General features: G+C 42.8%; 1 pseudogene across 3 annotated transcripts in view, besides 10 other annotated features; it reads left to right on the forward strand.

Annotated features, from left to right (window-relative positions):
- The window catches only part of LOC100288637 (OTU deubiquitinase 7A pseudogene), a 126,895-nt pseudogene that overhangs the window by 45,247 nt on the left and 57,373 nt on the right, over positions 1–24,275 (forward strand). The gene's annotated exons all lie outside the window — the stretch shown is intronic.
- Positions 4,495–5,102: an enhancer, noted in NCBI's record as "H3K27ac-H3K4me1 hESC enhancer chr15:30988059-30988666 (GRCh37/hg19 assembly coordinates)". NCBI's record gives its function as "activates a minimal SCP1, AML or CMV promoter by ChIP-STARR-seq in naive H9 embryonic stem cells {active_cell/tissue: H9 hESC(naive)}" and the evidence as "EXISTENCE:reporter gene assay evidence [ECO:0000049][PMID:30033119]".
- Positions 5,103–5,710: an enhancer, noted in NCBI's record as "H3K27ac-H3K4me1 hESC enhancer chr15:30988667-30989274 (GRCh37/hg19 assembly coordinates)". NCBI's record gives its function as "activates a minimal SCP1, AML or CMV promoter by ChIP-STARR-seq in naive H9 embryonic stem cells {active_cell/tissue: H9 hESC(naive)}" and the evidence as "EXISTENCE:reporter gene assay evidence [ECO:0000049][PMID:30033119]".
- Positions 5,378–6,886: a non allelic homologous recombination region, noted in NCBI's record as "sub-region 6, recombines with sub-region 6' within the distal CHRNA7 low-copy repeat recombination region". NCBI's record gives the evidence for it as "EXISTENCE:nucleotide sequencing assay evidence [ECO:0000219][PMID:20506139, PMID:19898479]".
- Positions 5,378–24,275: part of a biological region, named in NCBI's record as "proximal CHRNA7 low-copy repeat recombination region", that runs on past the window's edge. NCBI's record gives its function as "recombination_partner: LOC106736477".
- Positions 8,637–8,834: a non allelic homologous recombination region, noted in NCBI's record as "sub-region 5, recombines with sub-region 5' within the distal CHRNA7 low-copy repeat recombination region". NCBI's record gives the evidence for it as "EXISTENCE:nucleotide sequencing assay evidence [ECO:0000219][PMID:20506139]".
- Positions 13,725–13,769: a non allelic homologous recombination region, noted in NCBI's record as "sub-region 4, recombines with sub-region 4' within the distal CHRNA7 low-copy repeat recombination region". NCBI's record gives the evidence for it as "EXISTENCE:nucleotide sequencing assay evidence [ECO:0000219][PMID:20506139]".
- Positions 16,498–16,637: a non allelic homologous recombination region, noted in NCBI's record as "sub-region 3, recombines with sub-region 3' within the distal CHRNA7 low-copy repeat recombination region". NCBI's record gives the evidence for it as "EXISTENCE:nucleotide sequencing assay evidence [ECO:0000219][PMID:20506139]".
- Positions 17,153–17,748: an enhancer, noted in NCBI's record as "H3K27ac-H3K4me1 hESC enhancer chr15:31000717-31001312 (GRCh37/hg19 assembly coordinates)". NCBI's record gives its function as "activates a minimal SCP1, AML or CMV promoter by ChIP-STARR-seq in primed H9 embryonic stem cells {active_cell/tissue: H9 hESC(primed)}" and the evidence as "EXISTENCE:reporter gene assay evidence [ECO:0000049][PMID:30033119]".
- Positions 17,749–18,344: an enhancer, noted in NCBI's record as "H3K27ac-H3K4me1 hESC enhancer chr15:31001313-31001908 (GRCh37/hg19 assembly coordinates)". NCBI's record gives its function as "activates a minimal SCP1, AML or CMV promoter by ChIP-STARR-seq in primed H9 embryonic stem cells {active_cell/tissue: H9 hESC(primed)}" and the evidence as "EXISTENCE:reporter gene assay evidence [ECO:0000049][PMID:30033119]".
- Positions 20,202–20,298: a non allelic homologous recombination region, noted in NCBI's record as "sub-region 2, recombines with sub-region 2' within the distal CHRNA7 low-copy repeat recombination region". NCBI's record gives the evidence for it as "EXISTENCE:nucleotide sequencing assay evidence [ECO:0000219][PMID:20506139]".

The raw sequence follows: 24,275 nt of genomic DNA on the forward strand, positions 1-24,275 counted from the left end.
TGTACCACCAGTTCATTCATTCATACTATGCTATTCATGTACTATTTGTCCATGTGTGAGTATACTGTAGTTTATCCATATATTCCAATTGTCCAGTGGATCCATTGGTTATCATTTGGGCTGCTTCTAGTTCTTAGTCCTATGGCGATATTTCCCGTATTTTTTGGTGCACAGGTGTACACATTTTGGTTGTGTAGGTACCGAGTGCTGAAAGTACTGGCTTACAGGGGTTGTGTAGGATGAGCTGTGGTAGATTCTGCCAAGCGGTTTTTCCAAGTTGCCTTACTAATTACACTCACACCAGCTCCGTGGGAGGGCCCTGGTTGCGTCACATCTTTGCCAACACTCGGTATTTTCAATTTTTGTAATTTAGACATTCTGGTGGGTATCTAATTTTCATTTTAATTTAATTTCACTGATGACTAATAAGGTTGAGCAACTTTTCATTGATTTTTGGCCATTCAGATGTCATCTTGTGAAGTGTATGTACAAATATATTTCCATTCTGCTATTGAATTGACTGTTTATTTCTTATTAACTTCTGAAGTGTTTATTCAGGGTACCAGTCCTTTACTGAGTCTATGGATTGCAATGATGTTTTCTCTCTGTGTAGGTTGCTTTTCACCTTCTCTAGGTTGTTTGCTAGTGCAGAGAAGTTCTTAATGTATCTACTTTATCTGTTAGGGTTTTTTGTTGTTGTCGTTATTGAGACAGAGTCTCTCCCTGTTGTCCTGGCTGGAGTGTAGTGGCACGATCTCAGCTTATTGCAACCTCTGCCTCCTGGGTTTAAGCGATTCTTCTGCCTCAGCCTCCCGAGTAGCTGGGACTGCAGGCATGCACCACCACACTTGGCTAATTTTTGTATTTTTAGATGAGACAAGGTTTCACCATGTTGCCCAAGCTTGTCTCAAACTCCCCACCTTAAGTGATCTGCTCGCCCCAGCCTCCCAAAGTGCTGGGATCACAGGTGTGAGCCACCATGCCCAGCGTACTTTACCATTTTAATAGTAGTTTTGGCATCTTGTTTCAGAACTCTTTGCCCATCCCAAGTTCATGCAGATGCTCCTCCATGTTGCTTTCTAGAGGATTTATTGTTTTACCCTCTACATTCAGAAACACCATCAACTTGGAGTTGATTTTCATGTATACTGTGAAGTAAGAAGACAGATTTTCTCATATGGCTCTCCCATGGACTCAGCACATTTACTATGGACATAAATACTCTCTCAAATACTCCACAATGTTTTTTTTTGTCAAATATGACCTCTATAAAGCCACATGCAACAGAATGTCAGAATTGAAGTTTGACAGCAATATGGAAGTGTAACAGACGACACATCTAAAATGAGATGCCAGGCCAGAAGCCCCAGTTAGGAAGGAATGAGCTAGGATCATTTCCCTCATTTTTGAACACCTTGAACTGATCAAGAATATAAAGAAGGAATCAGATGTAGGGAGGAGAAAGGATTCTGTGAAGAGAAATTTTTGAAAAAGCTGTTAGAATGCCACTGTCAACTCAATGTCCTTCTGTTTCTGGGGCTTGGGGAAGGTGACCTACCCCTCACCTGGAGCCTTTAGGCTGAGGATCAAGAGAGTGTTGAAGATAAAGGTGCCAATGCTTGGATCTGGGCATCTCATGAGTGAGGAAAGGGACCAGGATGCATTCCTTACGGTTGTCAGAGTGCGTGAGGACCATTATGGCCCCCGGATGGGCCGTGCCTGTGGGAGCTGGCAGGGGTGGTGTTGGGCCCTGTCACTGGGGCAGCGTGGAAGGAGAGAGGGACCCGAGTAGCAAGAAGCTAGAGGAGGACTTCAGATGCCTAGTACGCTGACACTGCAGAAAGTGACTGTTAAGAGGAGGCGTGCAGCTGCCTGCGGTAGGAATGCTGCACGTGAGTGACCCCACCGTGGAAATCTCCAAAGAGGCTCCCAGGAGAGCAGCTGAGCCTCCTCCGGTGGCCGGACCCCAAGCCCGAGACAGGACACGAAGCAGTCCCTTCAGTCCAAAATGCTCCTTCCCCCACCTCCACACCACTACCCCAGAGCAGTTAGCAGAAGACAGATGCCAGGCACAGCACCTTCCCCAGGAAGGACCCTTTGGAATTCTCTCAACTAAATGCATTTTAAAGGGGCCAGAAAGAGATTTAAAACAATAAGTAAATAAGTTGCATTTTGATTACATCCCCAAAGTCCTGCTCTTTCAGTTTCCCTTTGAGCAGTTAACTACTGACCCTCTGCACCGCCCTAAGCAGAGGTAGCTGATCACTCAGGAGGGTCACTCTTGTGTGAGGGGAAGCCTCCCACTAGCCCAGAAGTGCTCTGGGCCATAGTTGAGCTTTCATATTGCTGCACCATGTAGACGCTCAAGTGAGACAGAAACACAAAAACACAATAACCGCCGTCTGCCAAGGAAGCAGGAAAAATCACCTTTCAGGCCATTGTCCTGGTAAGTGGCCATGGCCTTCCAGCCACTCAGCATTTATACATAGGGAAAGCCACTTTAAGTAATGCAGTTGATGTATCTTAATCTGAGATGACACAAACATCAAAGGCATTTCTTCTCCTTGATTTCCAATAATCTCAAATATGCATTCTTTTCATATGTTCTTTGAACCTCAGTATAAAACATGGAATCAACTCTCTAACTTAAAAGCAGTGCAGTTTTGCAAAGTATCTTGCTCTAAGAGATGTTAGGGAGGTGATGCCTTTGTCATTCCTGGTTTGTATTTTTCCATTTTCCAAAAACTCTGTAGGTATTACAGATATCATTGCATAATTTAGAATTTAATCCTCCTGGAGAGTCAGGTGTCTTCAAGGTGATTTATAGCAAGTGAAGCTTGCAGAATTCTGGAGAGTGGTGATATAAAGTAAGGTAAGGCAAGAGAGAGGGAGAAAGAAAGGAAGGAAAACATGTTTTATGTGGGCTTCCAGTTATGGAAGTGTAAACTGCATCCTGGGAGACAGAACAGAACTGGGAAAAGAATATGACAAATACAGATTCATTGATCACCATGAGTGTGCCCTGATTTTGTAATAGAAATAAGGAATAAAAATGTTATCGGTTACAGCCTTTAAGTGATAGGATTCTAGATCATTGTTATTTTCATCTTTGTTTCTTATGTGTTTTCTGAACTTTCCCTAATAGACATCTGTCAGTTTTGTAACCAGAAAAACATACATATTAAATGAGCACAAAGGTGTTGAAGACTTCAACTCTATTTGCTATTCACCATAGAAAGGGTTTTGTTTTTTTTTTCCTAGTCAGGCCACAATCAATTCAGCTGAATGAACATGAACCGAAATACACACCTGCACGTGCTCCTCAGGTGAGTGTTCTGAAGGACAGGCACCCACCACTGGGCCACCGGGACTTGAATTTCACCCAGCCGCACGGCCATGGGAATACTTGGGAGGACAAGGTAGCTGGGCAGTTAGAAAGAAAGACTCCCCTACCCCAAGTTTGTGGCCTGGGGGCCCCAGATGCTTGGCTATTGCAGGAGGTAAAGCTGTAGAAATTGACTGGGACTGCTTCTATGGACAGCAAAGGGAGAAACAGCAATACAATAATAGTGGATTTCAGTATTCCACTTTCAATAATGGATAGCTCTCCCAGGCAGAAAATCAAAAAGGAAGCGTGGGTGTGAACAGCAGTGTAGGCCAAGTGGACCTAACAGACATTCACAGATCATTCCACCCGGCAGCAGAAGAACACACATTCTTCTTATTTCTTACTGCCCAGCTGTTGGCCTTGTCCTCCCAGGTCTCCCTCTGGTGCCCCCTGCCCTGAGATCTTGCTGTCCCCCTCTGCACCTCTATGCAGGGCTGGAGGCCATTCTGGATGTCTGAGAACTTTTCTGGCAGGTATTCCCATGGCCGTGCGGCTGGGTGAAATTCATGTCCTGGTGGCCCAGTGGTGGGTGCCTGTCCTTCAGAACACTCACCCCAGGAGCACGTGCAGGTGTGCGTTTCAGTTCATGTTCATTCAACTGAATTGATTGTGGCCTGACTAGAAAAAGCCCTTTCTGTGATAAATAGCAAATGGAGTTGAAGGCTTCAGTGCCTTTGTGTTTGTTTAATATCTACGTTTTTCTGATTACAAAAAAGACAGATGTCTATTAGGGAAAGTGCAGAAAACACATAAGAAACAAAGACAAAAGTGACAATTAGAATCCTACCACTCATGGCTGTGACTGATAACATTTTTATTCCTTATTTCTATTACAAAATCAGTGCACACTCGTGGTGACCAGTGACTCTGTATTTGTCGTATTCTTTTCCCACTTCTGTTCTATCTCCCAGGATGCAGTTTATACTTCCATAACTTTTTCTGTACTTACACAAACATGACTATTTATAGGGTTTTATTTTGTTTTGTTTGTTTTGTCTTAACAAAAGGACTTAGACCATATATTCCTCTGCAACTTGTTTTCTTTAGTTAACAATAAACTATGGAAGCATTCCCAGATACACACACACTTATGTGTGTGTATAATATATGTGTGTGTATATATATATATACACATATATTTGCATATACACACATACAAAAACATTTTTTAAGGCAGCTGCACAGTCCTCTTTCATGGGCAGCAGGCCTGCATATAGAACCACCACACACAGATATGCAAAGCAAATGGAGCTTTATTTTCCTCTAACTGATGTGTCCTCCTGTGCTCTGTGTTCTGTCTCTTCCCGCCCTCAGCCTTTCCATCAGTGTCATCCCATGCTCTGCGGCTGTAAATCCTCTTTGGTGAATGCCCGGTTCTTCAGGACCCCATCTCCTCCTGGTTCCTTGGCCACATCATCTGTTGTGCAAATGTAAAACTCTTGGGAGTGAGGGGGCACTTTAGTAAGGACACTGGAGCCACAAGTGTATCCGGGGATCTCATAGCTGTCCCTATGCAGGTTCCCAGGTGCCCCACGTGTGTGCAGGCTGGTGTCCAGAGAATGCTGCTGGGTTTGTCCACACCTGTGGTGCCCCGCTGGCACCTTTGTGGACGTCTGTATCTCATGGAGCTCCTGCCCTTTCCTGTGAGTGCTCATGCCCCTGGGTCCCTCAGCTCTCTGCTTCTGAGTCTGCCAGTCCTGCTTTTCCAGCCCTGAGTCTTGGGGATTCATCCTGTGGTCCTAGGCCATAGCATCCTTGCTCTAGCAGGCATAGCTAGGAGGTCTGGCCTGTTCAGCCCTCTGCAGGAGCGCACACAGCTCTTCCTGGGCACGACCTGGGAGTGGCCTGTGTTCTCTCTCCCTCTCTGTCCTGCAAGTCTTTTGCATTACCGTGTATGCTGTGGCATTCCGCTCGGATTCTGTCTAGTCTCCTCCCACAATCCCAAAGAGGAGCAGAGTGTAATCTACTCCTCGACTGCTGTCACTTTCGCATCTTCTCTGACATTCCCCTCCACTGGGGCCTTGGGCCCAGAAACAGCCCAGGCCACCTGTATCTCTCACTGCCTCCTTCCCCAGCTTCCTCCCCGTCAGAGTCCCTTGAAGTGGGGCTTTCCATTTCTTAGTCATCGAGTCTTGAAGTCCCCTTGTCCGTGACAGATAGTAAAATTCTCTGTCTGGGTCTCCCTCAAAAGACCCTTGAAATGCTAATGGAGCTATTGGAATTTAGAAAATTGGTTAATTGCTTCCTTTTCCTCCAATAAACCTGGATTTCTAGAGGATATTCTTGCTAAGGAGGTTAAGAAAAGTCAGCACTAAGGCTCAGGGCTGATCAGTGGCCTCTTTGATTCTGAATATAAATCAGTCTTAAAGAGGAGGGCTGCAAAGGAAACATGACTTAAGGAAGAAAGATATGACAGTGCGAAAGTGTATGCTCATTACAATATAGTGCGGCTGCGTCCAAATTCCTCCCGCCTCTCCCCTATGGATGGTGGTCACGCTTTTGCCATCCCAAATAATGCTGAGGAGGGGAAAGCCTCTTACACATGTCTTCTTCTTTATTAAAACTCTTAATTTCTGTGGAATAAAATCCTAACACTGTGATGCAAAGGGCATGTGCAATTTAACTTTTTAAATCTGCTGATTCATCTTTTTTCGATTCATGCTCTCACCATTAATGTATGAAGTGCTGTTTCCCCACATCTTTACCACCACCGGATGTTAGAAACTCTTTTTAAGTTTTACAGTCTCATTGGATTAAAAAGCAAAAGTGTCTTGTGTCATCTCACATTTGCTTGACTGCTTGTGCGGGGCAGGTGGTGTGTGCTTTCACAGGCTGTCAGCTGTCCCCAGCCTCTCTTTTACAGAAGTGGCTCCTGCCCATTGTCTCCTAAGGCTGTTCTCCCTTTTAATTCTCTATGGTGCAGGCTCTTTATATATTAGGAACTCTAACTTTTGGTCAGATGGGTTGGGAGTTTCTCCCAATCTCTTTTTTACTTTGTATATATTATATTTATGTTTTACCATAGGAATTCATACCAAAAGCAAGAAGTATGACAAGTATGACTTTTTATTAAAGGACTTAAAAATCTAGATAAATGAAGAATTATACTGTACTCCTGGATGGGGAAGCTGAATTTGAAGCCATCAGTTATTTTGAAATTAACATGTATTTGTAATGCAATTTTGGTCAGTACTCTAGGTTTTTGTTTTAACTGAGCCCAAGCTGTCCAGCAATGTCAGCAAGAAATTCTTCAAGAAGAATAGTAAGAGGGGTCTTGTGTCATCTATAAAGGTGTCACATAGCTACACTCATCAAAAAATATAGTATTGGTGCCAAAAATGAAAAAAATTAAAATCACTGAAAGAAGAGATTTTGCAAACAGATCAAAGTATAGATATATTTTAACTCACTTGGAAAAGATGGCATATTTAATAAGTATCTTGTTGTAATCAATGATGTTGGAAGGGAATAAAATTGGATGCCAACACTGAGGCACGCACATGAATAAATTCCAGATGGGTTTTGAACCTAAATGTAGAGCAAAAAAATCCAATTATGTAAATAGTAGGAAAAAGAGTAGAATGTGATCCATATAATCTCAATTGAGAGAGGTCTTCTTAAATAATGCAGGAAACCCAGAATGATAAAGAAATAGAGTGGCAGATATGGCTATATGAAAACAGTTTAGCATCTTTTCCTTTAGTCTTTTACATATGCAGTTTTACATTCTTGAGGTTTTTTAATATATATGGTTTTCTCTTGATTTTTTTCACTTCCTAAGTGTTTCCCCAAGAAATATAAAACTTCAAAAATGTAATTTCAGTATCTATGTTCCAGTTTATACATGTGCTGTCATTTAATTAGAACTTACCATTTTTAAACACAAGCCACAGTTCTTTGAAATTATATTTCAAAAGTAGAAAACACATTCCATAATATCTTGAATAGATCTGAATAGAATCTTGACATGCAAGACACATGGCATACCGTGGTAGCAACTCTCAGGATAAGACAAGTGTGCACTACATGGTAAACTAGACCTGGTGCTCATACATAGAATCCAAGGAGAAACAATGTTTAATAAGTTATTAGCATCATTTCATATAAATTGGGAAGAAAATTATTGGACCCTTTCCTCATCCCATGTATACGGACAAATAGAAGATAGAGGCAACAGAGATACCTCAGGGACCAGGCGCTGATTGCAGATGTGTGGCAGAAGTACTGTGTGAAATCCACGGCGCATCCAGGGGGCTTTTCTTTGATCACACCCTGAGAATTTTCGTAAACTAAACACTGTTTGGGAGTTTTAAGAGGAGGAAAAGAACTTTGCTTCTGCAAATTATGGCAGTCATGTCAATGTTACCGAATATTCCGGGACAGATTTCCAGAAGAAAAGAGTGCATCTTGTGAACCGTCAGCTTGCAGTGGCCTTGGCTAGAAGTCAGCATAGGGTCTGACTTCATTTTCTTTCTGGGTAATGTTTTTGAGGGGGAACACCGGGGACATTATACATCTGAATTTTTGGAGTACGTTTGATTAAAGAGGTAGCATAGTGTAATTGTGAAAAAAAGTTTATTTGGAATTAGAAGAGTTGAGTTCAAATCTCTAAACCCTCACTTACCTGTTATTCTCTTTAGAGAAGTCACTTCACTTTCAAGACCAGATTTTCCATTTGTAAAATGAAAGTTTGGGATCTAAGTGACTTCAAAAGTCCCTTCAAGCTATAACACTCTGCTCTTGTAAATTCCTCATGACAGTCCTATGGTAAAGATGGGAAAAGTGTAGCCTGAATGTCATTTTAATGAGATAGGAGTCACCATTGTCAATGACTATATACAGAGAACACATTTGTCTGTCAGTCCTTTAGTTAAGCCTAGAAAGGGGTCTCTGGCAGACTGCTGTGAGGCTGTGTCTTCCTTCCCATCTAGCCATTTTCTAAATGCTGTAGAATAAGGGTTAGCAAAGTTTTTCATGAAGGATCAACAGTAAATATTGCAAGTTTTGCAGGCTCTATGGTCTCTGTTTACAACCAGCCAACTCAGCCAATAGACATTACATAAATGAACAGTTGTGCTTGTGTTCCAGTAAAACTTAATTTATAAAAAACAGGCAGCTGATGGGCAGGCTGAGGTGCCCTGACACCTACTCTTGCACAGTGAGAACATTCGTGGCCCACAGATCAAATTGTCATTTATTTGGTTAAGTTTTATTCAGCACTAAGTCGTAGGGTTGCAAATATGCATGTGTCAGTTCTTGATCTCCAGGAACTTCCCAGTGAGGAGATAGCAGGTGAATGAGATGGGATGCTCCTTAAGATAGTGAGGTCCCTGGGGTGTGGATCCGGTCCTGTGAGTACGCAGAGCTGTGAGTGTGTGATTCTGCCTGGAGGTTAGGCCGGGCAACTAGAGCCAAAAGGAGTCCAGATGGCTTGTCCTAGGCAGGAATTGTGGTGCACTGAATCTAACAAGATGAAAGTCAGTACTGACGGAAATGGGACAGTGAGTATAGACTACAAGATAAAAGCAAAGAAGCAAATAAAAAACAGCTGTTCAAGTGGGAAGCAAAAGCTGTCACTTAACCAGCAACTTCATGTGAGTTTCTGCAGCTGCAGGAAACTAGAACAGGATAAATGGGTCCCAACTCATCAGGGCCTTGAGCTTCTCCATCCTGTGGGCCGATCGTGTCTGAAAGGTTGTCTTCATTTCTTGGCCAGTGCAAGGAAGGGCTAGAGGGAAGTAATTTCCTGACACTAGGCTGACTGTGATGGAAAAGGAAAGAGTAAGTACCGGGTATTCTGCTAATTCTCACATCAACCCTGTGAGCCAGGGATTACATTATATCCATTATAGAGCAGCACTTCTCAAATTTTGCTGTGTGTAAGCATCTCTGGCGATACAGTTGAAATGTGGGTTCTGGTTCAGTAGGTCTGAGTGGGGCCTGAGAACGTTAATTTCTGATGAGCACCAGCAGATGCCAACACAGCTGGGCAAAAGTACTGTATGAAATCCACGGCGTATCCAGGGGGGTTTTCTTTGATCACACCCTGAGAATTTTCATAAAATAAACACTGTTTCGGAGTTTTAAGAGGAAGAATAGAACTTTGCTTCTGCAAATTATGGCAGTCATGTCAATGTTACAGAATATTCCAGGACAGATCTCCAGAAGAAAAGAGTGCATCTTGTGAACCGTCAGCTTGCAATGGCCTTGGCTAGAAGTCAGCATAGTGTCTGACTTCATTTTCTTTCTGGACAATGTTTTTGAGGGGGAACACTGGGGACATTATATGTCTGAATTTTCACAGTACCTTTAATTAAAGAGATATCTTTAATTAAAGTAGCTCTGTGAACAGCAAGGAAGTGGATGAGGAAACAGAAATTGGCAGAGTCCATGATTTGTCCAGATTAAACTGCCATGAGTGACTGTAACAAAAATTCAGAACTTATGTAACTCAAATAGGTATATTTGAGAAATAGGTCGGCACAGGTCAAGATGTGAAAGCCCAATAAAGCTAGGCAGAGACTTGGTAAGATAAAAAAAAAAAAGTGCCTCAAAATGTTCAGTGACAGTAGTGCCCTGATACAGGCAGTACTTAAGGAAAAATCAGTATTTAAGGAAGAGCTGTAAAGGGTCTCCAGGAGTGGGCAAAGTATGTTTTTAATTAAACATTTTATTTTGAGATGATTGTATATTGATCTGCAGTTGTAAGAAATAATAGAGTTCCAGTGTCCCCTTTACCTGTTTTCTCCCAATGGTAGCATTGTGCAAAACTATGGTCCAATATCACAACCAGGACATTAATGTTGATGTAGTCAATATGTAGAACATTTCCATCCCACAAGGTTCCCCAGTGCTGCTCTTTATATCCACAGTCACTTACCCAACCTCATTCTTAACCTCTGGCAACCATTAATCTGTCTCCATTTCTACAATTTTGTATTGTAATAATGTTATATCAATGGAATCATATAATATGTAATTTGGGGATTTTTTTTTTACTTGGAATAATTCCCTGGATATTCATCCAAGTTGTTGTGGTTATCAAGAGTTCATTCCTTTTCCTTACTGAGTAGTATTTCATGGTATGGGCATTCCACATTTTGTTTAGTCATTCACTCCTTGAGGGTTCTGGATCATTTCTGGTTCCAGGCTATTATGAAGAAAGCTGCTATGAACATCCTTATAAAGGTGTTTGGGTGAATGTGAAGACTCCATTTCTCTAGGATAAGTGCTCAGGAATCCAGTTGCTGGGTTGCATGGTAGTTTTATGTTTAGTTTTAGGAGAAACTGCTTTCCAGAGTGGCTGTGTCATTTTCGTTCCCACAAACAGCATGTGAGTGATCCGTTTCTCTGCGTCCTTGTCAACTATTGGTGTTGTCACTGTTTTTTATTTTTGCTGTTCTGATAGATGTGTAATGATAACTCATTGTGTTTTAATTTGCATTTCCTTGATGGCTAAGGTTGTTGAACATTTTTATGTGCTTATTTGTCATATATACCTTCTCTTCAGTGAAATGTCTCTTTGTGGTTTTTTTGCCAATTTTCTAATGGATTTAACTGTTGAGTTTTGAGAATTCTTTATATATTCTAGATAGTAGTCCTTTGTCAGATTCATGGTTTGCAAATATTTTCTCCCAATCAGTAGCTGGTCTTTTTACTCTCTTTCACAGAACAAAAAGTTCAAGTTTATCAATTTTTACTTTTATGGATCATGCTTTTGGTATGAAGCCTAGTAACGACTTCTTTCCTAACCCTAAATCCCTAAGATTTTCTCGTATGTTTATTTTCAAAAAGTTTTGTAGTCTTATATTTTACATTCAAGTTTGTGATCCATTTTAAGTTAATTTTTACTGTATACAAGGTATGAGACTTAGGTCAAGTCTCTTTCTTTCTTTCTTTCTTTCTTGTTTTTTGTGCCTATGCCTGTCCCTTGTTCCAGCACCATTTGTTGCCAAGACCATCTTTCCTCTGTCAAGTTGCTTTTTCACCTCTGTCAAAAATCAGTTCCGGGTTCTCTATTCTGTTCCTTCAATCTATATTTCTATTCCTTCACCAGTACTGCCGTCTTCATTACTGTAGTCATATGGTAAACCTTAAAATTGGCTAGATTGATTCTTCCCACTTTATCCTTCTTTTTCAAAATTATTTTAACTATTCTAATTCTTCTACCTCTCCATATAAATATTACAATAACTTTGTCCATATCTATTAAAAATCTTGCTGAATTTTGACAGGAATTGTCTGTCAATTTATACATCAATTTGGGAAGTATTGGCATCATTAGCGTATTGAGTTTTTCAATCTGTGGACACAGTATGTTTCTACATTTATTTAATTAGTAGATTTTTATATCTTTAATGTTTTATGGTGTTCAGCATACAAGTCCTATGCATATTTTGTTAGATTTATAACTATTTTTATTGAATGATTATAAATAGAATTACATTTTTAATGTTAGTGTCCACACGTTCACTGATATTACAGAGAGATACAACTGATTTTTATGTTGACCTTGTGTCATGTGACCTTGCCGTAGTCACTTCTTAGTTCTAAAAGTTTTCAGAGTCCTTGAGGTTTTCTGCATTAGACATCTTGTCATCTGCAAATAAGTTTTACTCCTTTTCTTCTAATATACATGCCATTCATTTCCTTCTCTTACCTGATTGCACTGGCAAGAATATCCAGCACTATGCTGAATAAGAGTGATGAGAGCAGACATCCTTGCTTGTTCCCAATCTTAGGGGAAAACCATTCTTTCACCATTAAATATGATGTTAGCTGTAGGTTTTTTGTGAATGCTCTTTGTTAAGTTGAAAGTATTCTATTCTTATTTCATGAAGGGGATGTTGAATTTTATGAATTTTTTTCCTTCATCAACTGATGTGATCATGTGATTTTTCTTTTTAGTCTGTTAATATGGTGGATTACATTGACTGATTTTTGAAGATCAAACCAGACTTACATTTCTGAAATGAACCCCACTTAATAATGGTATATAATTACTTTTCAATATTGATGAATCCCATCAGTAATATTTTGTTAAAGATTTTTGCATCTATATTCATGAGGGATATTGGTCTATAGTTTTATTTGTTTACACTGGGTTTGTCTGGTTTTGGTATGAGAGTAATTGTGGCTTCGTAGAAGTGTCGGAAAGTGTTTTCATTTCTTCTGTTTTCTGGAAGAGACAGTAGAATAGGTGTTAATTCATATTTAAATGTTTGGTAGAATTCTCCAGTGAAACCATCTAGGCCTGGACATTTCTTTGGAGGAGGCTTTTAAATTCTGAATTTAATTTTCCATAGTTGTAGGACTATCCAAATGACCGGTTTCATATTAGATTAATTAAGGTAGTTTGGGCTTCTCAAGGAATTGGTCCATTTCATCTAAGTTGCTAAATTTATATATGTAGAATTGTTCATAATATTACCTTATTATCCTTTTGATGCCTCCAGGGCCAATATTCCTTTTTCATTCCAGATATTGATCATTTGTGTCATCTTTTTAAGCTTTTTATTTTAAATATTTTTTTAAATTATAATAACTTTAAATAATAATTTTTTAAGTTAGGAAAAAATTGTAAAAAGTTTAGAGTTCCCATTTACCTTTCACCGAGTTTTTCCAAATGTTAACACTTTACGAAACCACAGTACTATTATCAAAACCAGAGAATTAACATTGACACAACCGTGTTAACTATTCTACCAACATCATTACAAAAATTTCACTACTTTTCTCACTAATGTCCTCTTTCTGTTCTAGAATCCAATCTAGGTCCTACCCTGCATTTGGTTATTATGTCTCATTAGTCGCTTTTAATCTGCGACAGTTCCTAAGTCTTTCCTTGTCATTACCCTTATACTTTTGAAGAGAACTGGTCAGTTATTTGGTAGAATGACCTTCCATTTGGGTTTGTCTAATATTTTCTCACAACTAGATCAGGGTGAGGCTGTGCACTACAGGGAAGGAGACGGCTGATGTGCTCTGCTTGTTTCTGTGCTGGTGCACATGCTATTGATATGTCTTATACTGGCATGTTGACCTTGGTCCCTTGACTAAGGTGCTATCTGTCAGGTTTCTCTAGTGCAAAGTTACCATTTTTCCATTTGTCATTAGTAAATATCTTGCAGGAGATACTTTGAGACTATGATGCAGGTATCTTTTTCTCATCACACCTTTGAGTTAGAAAGGTTTGGGGGCTCAGAGGAAAATCCTCAAGACATATTCTTACACCACTGAATGATATCAGGTGGCCTGTGATAGTGGCATCTATACAAGGGACAAGGAAAGCAGAAAAAGGCCATTCTCTATGAATATCATGATTTTATGATTGCCTGAATTGGGGAGAAGAGGTGAGGAGTGAGAGATACAGAGAAAGAGACAGAGGAAAAGAGAAAGACTGATTCACAGAGAAAGAGATCTGAAGTTCAGAACTCATTGAGATGGAGAGGGCGAAGTCAAGGGAGAATTCAATTTTTCAGTCTTGACTGACTTGAAGAACAGGTAAGTTTTGCAAGGAAGGCAGGTTTGGTTCTAAGAAATCTGAGGTACCTGTGAGACGTGTAAGTGCACATCCCATCAGAGAGCAGGGCAAAGGGTGGAAAAGAGAACAAGACTAGAGAGGGCCACTTGGGAGTCACCCGAACACAGGTGTTATGAATATTTAGTGAGTATAAATCAGTTATCCAACAGAAAGAGCCAAGCCAAGCACAAAGTTGGGAGAATACCCATAGTTTGTTGGAAAAGGAATCAGTGAGACAAACTGAAGTCGTGGGGAGATGAAGGATGATGGTGCCATGTATAAGGAAGAGTTCACAATGGCAGCATGACCACTGTGTTAACTAAGAGCTAGAAGGTCAGTGATTCCGTCATTAGCAGGGGGTGACTTCTGTGGCTGTGGTTTCAGTCAGGTGGTAGGGATGGAATCCAGATGTAGGCAGGGGATAGGAGAGTGCAGAGAACGCAGTAAGTGATGAAGAAAGAAGTGGACAGCAATTATTGTGAGCGGTTCAACAGGGAATTTTCTTTGTTAACAATGCAGAGGGAAACATAACTGTAACGTCACTTCCACTAACAGCGCAGTCAGACAGATTCGATTGCTAAAGAAGACTCACAGGGCCCAGAAGGACAGTGCTCACAAGTCTGTGGTTTATTGACAAGAAGGGATGTGATAGAGCAACAAGCATGAAGGCAAGGACCTGCCTTGCATCCAAAGGCTGCCTCAGAGCAAGCAGTGTGGACACACTGAGGCCGATACGGGCTGCCTCCAATGGTCTTCCCTCTGCAGGCCTGAGCCAGATGTGTTTTTTCTCTCGGAACCACGTACCCATGCAAGGAAGGAACACCTCAGATCCACGCAGCCCAGTGGAGTCACAGTGGGGCTTTTTGCAGCCTTCTGGTCACATAAGCACATTATTGCTACATGAGCAGCTCTAACATCAGAGCCCCCTCCCCAAACACGTGCAAAACATCAGTCTCACAGTCATCCATAAACAATGAGGACAAACAGGCAGAACCTACCCTGAAACTCACCTCGGACCCACGGGTAAAAACAACAGTATTGGCCGGGTGCGATGGCTCACGCCAGTAATCCCAGCACTTTGGGAGGCCGAGGCGGGCGGATCACGAGGTCAGGAGATTGAGACCATCCTGGCTAACACGGTGAAACCCCATCTCTACTAAAAGTACAAAAAATTAGCCGGGCGTGGTGGCGGGCGCCTGTAGTCCCAGCTACTCGGGAGGCTGAGGCAGGAGAATGGCATGAACTCAGGAGGTGGAGCTTGCAGTGAGCTGAGATCGCACCACTGCACTCCAGCCTGGGTGGCAAAGCGAGACTCCATCTCAAAAAAAAAAAAAAAAAAAAAAGTATTAATCACTGCCTTTCATAGTTTGATGCAGAATGTCTCGTACTTCAGCAAAGCAGCTCAGGCCAATTTCAGACCTGCTGGAATTAACCCTCCTAGCACATCCCTCTACGAATGTTATCTCAGTAAGTCCTTATCACCATCCTGTTAAATAGGTGCCATTACTCTTATTTTTAAGAAGGGCAATGTGATGCTCAGAAAGAGTAAGTACACTGCCAAAGCAACACACCAGGAGAAGGGAGGCGGGAACTGATTCTGTGGGACAGGAGGGCAGATGCCTTCACAACAAGAGGCCCCCGGGTGTGTTTGAAACAAGCTGGGAGTAAAAAGGATTAGAGAGGAGGAGCTTGCAGGTATGAGAGCAGCAAAGGGATAACTGTGAAAGGCGGGTCTCCTGAGAAATGAGAACAAATGTGCTCCTGAGACTGCTTAAGAAGAAAGAGAGAAGATGAAGCTATTAGCAGAGGCTGGGGCCCAGGCCTCGGTAGCCTTTAGATGAGTGGTTCTCCACCCCAGAGGGCTGGTGCAAACACAGCTTGCTGGGCAGTGCCCCCACTTCCAACTCAGCAGGTCTAGGTGGAGCCTGAGAACTTGCATTTTTAACAAATCTCCAGCAGTGCTGATGCTGGGGGCCAGGGGCCTCACTTTGAGAACCACTGTTCAGGCTTGTCAGTGCCACATGGGTTGGGTCAACTGGAAGGAGAAGAGCTGGGGTGGAGGGATGACTCTCTGGGACCCCTCTTGCTGGTCTCTGCAGAAGTATCAACAGGTCATGATACCAGGGAAGGAACATAAATAAAAGGGACCAAGTTGGATAAATGCCAGGGTATTAGAGTAAAATGTGTTTCAGCTGCTTAGCTTTGATGTGAAAATTTGAACAAATAACCAGAGAATAAGGGACTGTTTCCATTCCTGGTTTGAAAAAAATTATATTTAATAAAAGATGGAATTGTCACTAGCATAATTTTAACGATTTTGAAATAGAAAATATCCTTGGAGGGGAGGGAAGGGTTAGGAAAGAATGTGTGTAGTTTGAGGAAGGAACAATGCTTGGCTGCTGTCCTGGTGGGAGTCAGTGAAGCTGCCTGATGAGCAGTAGCAGGACCATGGGCTCGATTATCAGGGAATGACTTTTTAGATGGCGGAGATGCCTCTGGGGCTTCAGGGGCTGTGGAGATAAGGTGACCAGTGTCTTCAAGCTGGGATAAAGCATTGTTCACATCTCAGCACATTTCGAGAAATGGCGCAATGCTAACACAGCGCATTGGCTTTGCTGTTCAGGTTGCAGGTGACTGGTTGTGTGACCCTGGGCAGGTTGTCTCACTCCTCTGGGCTCAGGACAGGTGGTCTTTAAGCAGGTGTGATGCTAGCTAGCCCCTGCAGCGCAGGGTTGTTGTGAAAATGTAATGATAGAGAATATGGCGCATGCCTGGTACGAGGAGACACTCAGAAATGTCCTCTTCTGCTTCAGGGTCAGGTAGAAGAATCTTTTCAATTTCACCTCCTGAACCCCAAGTAGCTCTAAGTCTCATTCTTCTGAAACCCTTGTCTTCTGTGGCCCCTGAGCCTAAAACCACAGACGCTGGGTCTTTGTGGCCCCCTGGAGGCCAGGCTTCAGGAGGACCCTGGTCACAACCCGAATGGGATAGCAGCCTAGCAAGATTCAGCAGACAGCATGCGAGTAAACAGATTAACAGGGTGATTGCTAACGCCACAGAAAGTAATGTGGGTGAGTGAGTGACAGCAAAGGTTGAGAAACATCATTCATAAAGGGCAGCCAAGGAGGGCCTTTCTAAGGAGGTAGCAGCATTAAACCTGAGGGTGAGGAGGGGCCGCCTGGGGAAGGAGGCAGGTAGAGGGGAGGAGTCCACTCGGGAAATCCCAGGTCACCTGGACATGTCACTGGGCCCTGGGATTGGTGTGCAGGTCAAATGCAATGTTGGTTGTGCTTAGGCAATTGAAAGCAAGTAGAAGCTAAAAAAGGGATGATTTATCTTGGTTCTGAGAAGTTGGGTTAACAGTGAGGTCAGGAAGCAGAGGTGAGCAGCCAGCACCCTCTTTCTCTTGGGAAACTTGAACACATTTTAGAGTTATAGTTCCCCCAGGGAAGAAGTTAGCAGAGGCCACCCCACACCCAGGACAGGTGACAGAGCAGCAGTCTCCTCTCCCTGACCTTGATGCCTGGGCACAAAGGCAGCTTTTGCTGAGCAACAAGATGCTTGGACTCCCCACTCCTCCTCTATTTTCCTCTCCTGGCTGCATTTGCTCTGAAAGGCTGCAGACACCTGGCCCCAGGCCCTCCAAGTGGGCACCCACCCCCATCTGGGTGACAGAGGCTGCTGCTCATGGGAACTCCGCTAACTCCCTCTGAGTCCCTCTGAGTCATCTGGGTGGTGGACCAGCAGCCGTTGGGTCTGACCTCTCACCAGGACGCGTGCCTCTGAGCACTGGGACACAGGCCCTTTGAGGTCTCTCTGGAGCTGAAGGGCCGGCTCGCACACTGGGATGGAGTGGAATATGTGTGATATGTTGGTGAGGGATGCAGGCAGGTGTGGGAGGAAGTGGAGCAGGCACAGTCCATGGAGGACACGGGGCCCGGGTGCAGAGGCACACAGGCATCATCTAGATGGTGAGAAGGCGATGGGCCCAGATTCTGCCCTAGTGCAGGGAAGGCACCAAGATTTCAGATCAGAGGGAACTGCAGGAGAGCTGCAGAGACCCTCTCCCTTCAGCAGATTTAGGTGCTGCCTGTGACTTGCCAGACTGGCAGTCCCCAGCATGCTGCCAGCAGGCACGCTCAAAATGCGCTTCTGGCCTGAGCCCTTGCTGGCCTCAACACGCCAGCGGCTGCCCCTCTGTGGAGAGGAGTTCTCTGTAATGGTGCTGCAGGGACAGCCCATTCTGCCTGTCCACCCCCAGCCCCTTGTGCCCCCCTCAACCCTGTGCCCTGTCACTCACACCCGCAGCTACACCAAATCCTTCCCCAACCCCCTGCTCAGGGGACTCCTTCGTGTGCAGGCCACCCACCCCCAACCCATGTCTGCACTGGAGAAAATCTGCGGAGAATTCTCCTCCGTGGGGCAGTAGAAGGACAGGCCTGTGTGTGCCTGAGCCCCTCTTCCTCAGGTGTGTGTGAGAGAATTTACCTGAGAGAAGTTAGCAATGCCTGCCTAGTGAAGGCCTGGCACAGAATAGGCCCTCAGCAAACACCAGAGACCTCTGCCCTCCTTACCCTTCTGGGAACTCTTATTTAGAGTTTAAGGCCCAAGCCAAGTATCTCCTTCTCTCTGAAGAGTTCCCTTTCCCCGGAGGCAGATGACAAGGCAAGCCGTGACTTCCCTTGGACGGGGGCTGCTCTGCATCTCAGGCGTTCACCAGGGAGCGGGCTGAGCTGCGGGTGTCAGTCTCCAGGTCTGTCTCCTGTTTCAGATTACAGGGCTCTTGACGGCAAAACCACTCAACTTTATTTCTGCCTCGTGGCCTACACCTCCTAGCATAGTAAGTGCTCATTAAAATGTTGCTGGTTTGTGCAGGATCTGGATTTTATGCAAATGAATAATAAACTAAAGTTTTGCTAGCTGACTACAGTGAAATATCAATCACTTCATGTCTGTTTGGATGACTGTTACCCACAAGAGAAGAGATACGTGTTGGTGAAAGTGTGGAGAAAAGAGAACACTAGTACAGTGTTGGTGGGTATGTAAATTAGTGCAGCCATTACGGAAAAAGTGTGGCGGTTCCTCAGTAAAATAAAACTAGAACTACCATGTAATCCAGCCATCCCACTGCTGGTATATAGTCAAAGGAAATGAAATCAGTACATCAAAGAGTTACCTGCACTCCTATGTTCACTGCAGCACTATCCACAATAGCCAAGACATGGAACCACCCTGTGCTCATCCAAAGATGAATGGATAAAGAAAATGTAAAACGTGGCCGGGGCGGTGGCTCACGCCTGTAACCCCAGCACTTTGGGAGGCCGAGGTGGGCGGATCACGAGGTCAGGGGATCGAGACCATCCTGGCTAACACGGTGAAACCCCGTCTCTACTAAAAATACAAAAAATTAGCCAGGCGTGGTGGTGGGTGCCTGTAGTCCCAGCTACTCAGGAGGCTGAGGCAGGAGAATGACGTGAACCCGGCAGGCGGAGCTTGCAGTGAGCCGAGATCGCGCCACTGCACTCCAACCTGGGTGACAGAGCAAGACTCTGTCTCAAAAAAAAAAAAAAAAAAAAAGAAAATGTAAAACGTGTATAGATACACAATGGATAATATTCAGTCATAAAAAGAATGAAATCCTGTCACATATGGCAAGAATGAACCTGGAGGGCATCATGTTAAGTGAAATAAGCCAGGCACAGAAAGACAAATACTGCATGATCTCACTTATGTGTGGAATCCAAAAAAGGTGAACTCACGGAAGCAGAGAGCAGAATGGTGTTGGCCAGGTGCTGGGGGAGGTGGGGTGGGTTGAGATGTTGGTCAAAGGATACAAATTTCATTTAGGCAGGATAAATAAGTTCAAGGGATATATGGGGACTATTATAACATGGTAACTATTGTAACAATGTATCCTTAAAAATTCTTGAGACTTGCTGAGAGTAGATAATAATAAAGTAAACTGGTGTTACAAAAAGTTTTTTGGTTGAATGATGAGCAAAGGTTTCCCGGGGGAAGGGGGGTTGAGGGGATCTGGGCTTGTGAAGGGTGGAGGGGTGTGATGACAGGGAGAGGGAGAACTGAATGAAAAAAGACAGCAAAACCTAGGTAGGAGTGGGGGACAAGGAGAGCGGTAAGAGCCCAGGATCCAGGTAGCCTGAGGGAGGAGGCCCCCAGCCGAGGGATGCCAGAGAGCATGCCAGTGCCTGTTGACCCTTCACACACCTGCGCTGCGTGGGCCCCCTCCACTGGCTCTGTGAGGGCAGTGTCCTGGCTTCTGAGCGCCACTCCGGGGTCACTAAGGTCACATGGCACCCTGCTGGGTAGCTGCTGCTCATTTTGTACCTGCTGTTTCCCAGCAGTCAGTCCTGGAAGCATCTCTGGTCCCGTAGTCCTGCCTTCATCTTGAGCCCTTCTCAGTGCCTTGTATTTTTACTTTACAATAGTGTCAGCTTAGAGCAGTGAATCCTTCGGGTCCCTGGAGCATCTTCAGAGGTCCCTTTTCATCTTCACCAGGACCATTGGAACAGCCCAAGTCCCGTGGTGATGCAGGGACAAAGCAGGTGTGGTGGCTTTTTAGACCATAGGCAAGTAGGGGACATGACTAGTACTGATCCCAGACCTGGGGAAGCCCGGCTGATGGGTTTCCCGTGTGTGCTGGCCTTCAGTGACACCAAGGGGCTGGATGGAGAGGAGGATTCAGCTAGAACAGCCTCTTTGGGCTTTCACTTGCACCTGACAGACCTGGGTCTCTGCTCTCACCTGGAGCGCCCCAGACACGCGGTGTGTCCACAGCGTTAGCACACTCCCTGGGCCCGCTGTCAGCCCTGGGGGCTTTGAGAAGGGTGTGTCTGCCTGGCATCACCACATCCAATCCAGCCACATTCTGCATTTCAGAGCCAGAATACAGGTCTAAAATGCCTGTTTTGTTTTAGAAACTACTGTTCTCCCCAGGATTAAAATGTGCAGGAAGCATTCATCCCACCCTTAGTTTAGCTGATAGCCTTACCCCCCTCCCTTTTGTTTTGTTGTGGATCTGAACTTATTTTACCCAATGGCTATTTTCTTGCATTTCCCTCTAGAGGTAGTGGCATTTTCAAGAAGCACTTCAGCCTTCTGTATCTTTACATAATTCATTACGGACATATTTTGGACTTACAGTATCTTACAGTACAAAAAAAAAAGAGACTCTCCTCTTTATTTCCAGAAGTTGTTACAGACTTCTCCAGAATTTAAATTTCCTGAAAATTCGTCCAGGACATGCTGTAAGTTTTTATTCCATTAGGGAACCATAAACAAAACCACTTACTAGCAGGCCTGAGGCAGAGATGAACACCTGGCCTGAGCATCTCTCCTGCACCTTCCTGAGAGACAGACCGAGTGATCACTGTGTGAATTAAAGCCCATTTCCTAGAAACTCACTCTTCTCTTGAAGCTTTTAGGAAGACTAAGAGATAAAGCCATCCACCAAGAGATAAAGCCAGGAAAAGTGTCTGTCCCAGTGCAAGTGTGTGAGGGTTGTTAGTGGTGGGGGTGGGCATCCTTCATTCTTTCAGCCAGGGGACTGCACGTCCGTGGAGTGAACACCCCAGAGGTGGGCAGGGGACCAAGTCCAGCATGGGAGACAGGACCCCTGGGTCAAAGGCTGTTCTTAGGTAAGCTTCGTGACAAACATGGCATTTGAGCTGGGTCTTGAGTGGAGCCAGGAGAAAACAGGAGTTTTGAAAATTCCTGAGGGAAAAAATGTGAACAAAGAAAGGGACCCAGGAAGTAGTTTATTGTTAACTATCATTTTCCTACTATGGTATCAAATACAAGAATGAATTTCTTCTATCCAACTGCATGTTGGTGCCCATTAGTCAACTTCTCTTCCTCCCCACTTCCCTTCCCAGCCCCTGGTAAACACTGTTCTACTCTCTACCTCTTTGAGACCCACTTTTTTTTGCTCCCACATTTGAGTAAGAACATGTGATATTTGTCTCTCTGTGCCTTGCTTATTTCACTTAACATGATGATATCCAGTTCCATCCATGATGCTGCAAATGACGGGATTCCATTATTTTTATGGTTGAGTAATATTCCGTTCTGTATATATTCCACACTTTCTTTATCCATTCATCCATTGATGGACACTTAGGTTGATTCCACGTTTCAGCTATTGCAGACAGTGCTACAATAAACATGGGAGTGCAGATATTTCTTCAATATACTGATTTCCTTTCCTTTTAATATATACTCAGCCGTGGGATTCCTGGATATGTGGTCCTTCTATTTTTAGTTTCTTGAGGAACCTCCATACTGTTTTCCATAATGATGGTACTAATTTACATTCCCTTTCTCCACATCCTTACCAGCATCTGTTATTTTTTGTCTTTTTTATAAAAGCCAATTCTAACTAGAGTGAGATGATATCTCATTGTGGTTTTAATTTGCATTTCCCTGGTGATTAGTGATATTGAGCATTTTTTCATATGCCTGTTTTCTGTTTGTATGTCTTCTTTTGAGAAACATCTATTCAGGTCATTTGCTGATTTTCTAATCAGATTATTTGTTTTTTTGCTATTGAGTTGTTTGAGCTCCTTATATAATCTGGTTATTAATCCCTTGTCAGATGGAAGTTTGCAGATATTTTCCCCCTTTCTCTGGGTTGTCTCTTCACTTAGTTGTTTTGCTTCCTGTGCAGAAGCTTTTTAGCTTGATATAAACCCATTTTTCTATTGTTGCCTTTTTGAAATCTTATGCAAAAATCTTTGCCCAAACCAATGTCCTGAAGTGTTTCCCCAATGTTTTCTTCTGGTAGTTCCATAATTTTAGGTCTTATATTTAAGCCTTTAATCCATTTTAGAGTTGATTTCTGTATATGATGAGATGAGGATCTAGTTTCATTCTTCTGCATATGGATATTTGGTTTTCTCAGCACCATTTATTAAAGAGACTGTGTTTTCCCTGGTGTGTGTTCTTGCCAACTTTGTTGAAACTGAGTTGGCTGTTAAGTGTGTGGATTTATTTGTGGGTTCTCTGTTCTGTTCCATTGGTTGATGTGTCTGTTTCTATGCCAGTACCATGCTCTTTTGGTTACTATAGATTGGTAGTATCATTTGAAAACACAACCATGATGCCTTTAGCTTTGTTCTTTTTGCTCAGGATCACTTCAGCTGTTCAAGGTCTTTTGTGGTTTCATATGAATTTCAGGCTTTTTTCTATTTCTGTGAAGAATGTCATTGGTATTTTGACGGGAATTGCATTGAATCTGTAAATCACTTTGGTTAATATAGACATTTTAACAATATTAATTCTTCTAATCCATGAGCATGGGATATCTTTCCATTTTTTCAGGTTCTTCTTGTTGAGTTACAGGGGTTCTGTATATGTTATGGATATTAATCCCTTATCAGATATATGATTTGCAAATATTTTCTGTCATTCTGTTGGTTGCCTTTTCACTTTGTTGATAATGTCCTTTGGTACACAAAAGTTTTTAATTTTGATGAAGTCCATTTTATCTATTTTTCCTTTTGTTGCCTGTTCTTTTCGTGGTGTCATACCCAAGAAATAATTGTCAAATCCAGTTTCATAAAGCTTTTCCTCAGTATTTTCCTGTGTGAGTTTTATAGGTTTAGCTCTTACATTTAGGTCTTTGATCCATTTTTAGTTAATTTTTGCATACAATGTTAGGTAAGAGTCTAACTTCATTATTTTGCATGTGGATATGCGGTTTTCCCAGCACCATTTATTGGAAAGATTGTCCTTTCCACATGGAATGGTCTTGTGGAAAACCTTTGGCCATTTATGCAAGGCCATGTGTGGCACCCTTGTGGAAAACGATTTAACCATATATTTGAGGATTTATTTCTGGTCTACCTTGTGTGGACTATAAATCTGTCTTTTTGCCCACACCACATGCTTTGATTACCATAGATTCATAGTATGTTTTAAAATCAAGATGTGTGAGACTTCCAACTTTATTCTTCTTTTTCAAGATTGTCTTGGCTATTGATTCTGTTCTTTTGCATTAGAAGTCAGAAAATTTATTGCCTACAAAATCATTTTGAAAGTACTACTCAAGCCTTCTAGTAAAATTAAAAATTAATAAAGGACCAATGAGAGATATGCAAATTATTCATGATCAATTAGCAAACACCAAAACACAGTTGTGTTACAAGTAATAATATAGAACTGAAGCTTAAAGCAGTTGTTAAGAATTATGATTCCTAAGAAAGTAGAACCCAAAAATCAAAAGCAATTTCAAATCAACATTTTAAATGATTTCAACAAAATATAGCAGGTATCAGAGGAAGAGATGGGAATTAGATTGAACTAGGGACCTTATCCTATGTGGAAATTAGAGGTTGTGTATGTTATTTG

Source organism: Homo sapiens, chromosome 15, assembly GCF_000001405.40.
Source record: "Homo sapiens chromosome 15, GRCh38.p14 Primary Assembly".
Taxonomy (NCBI): Eukaryota; Metazoa; Chordata; class Mammalia; order Primates; family Hominidae; genus Homo; species Homo sapiens.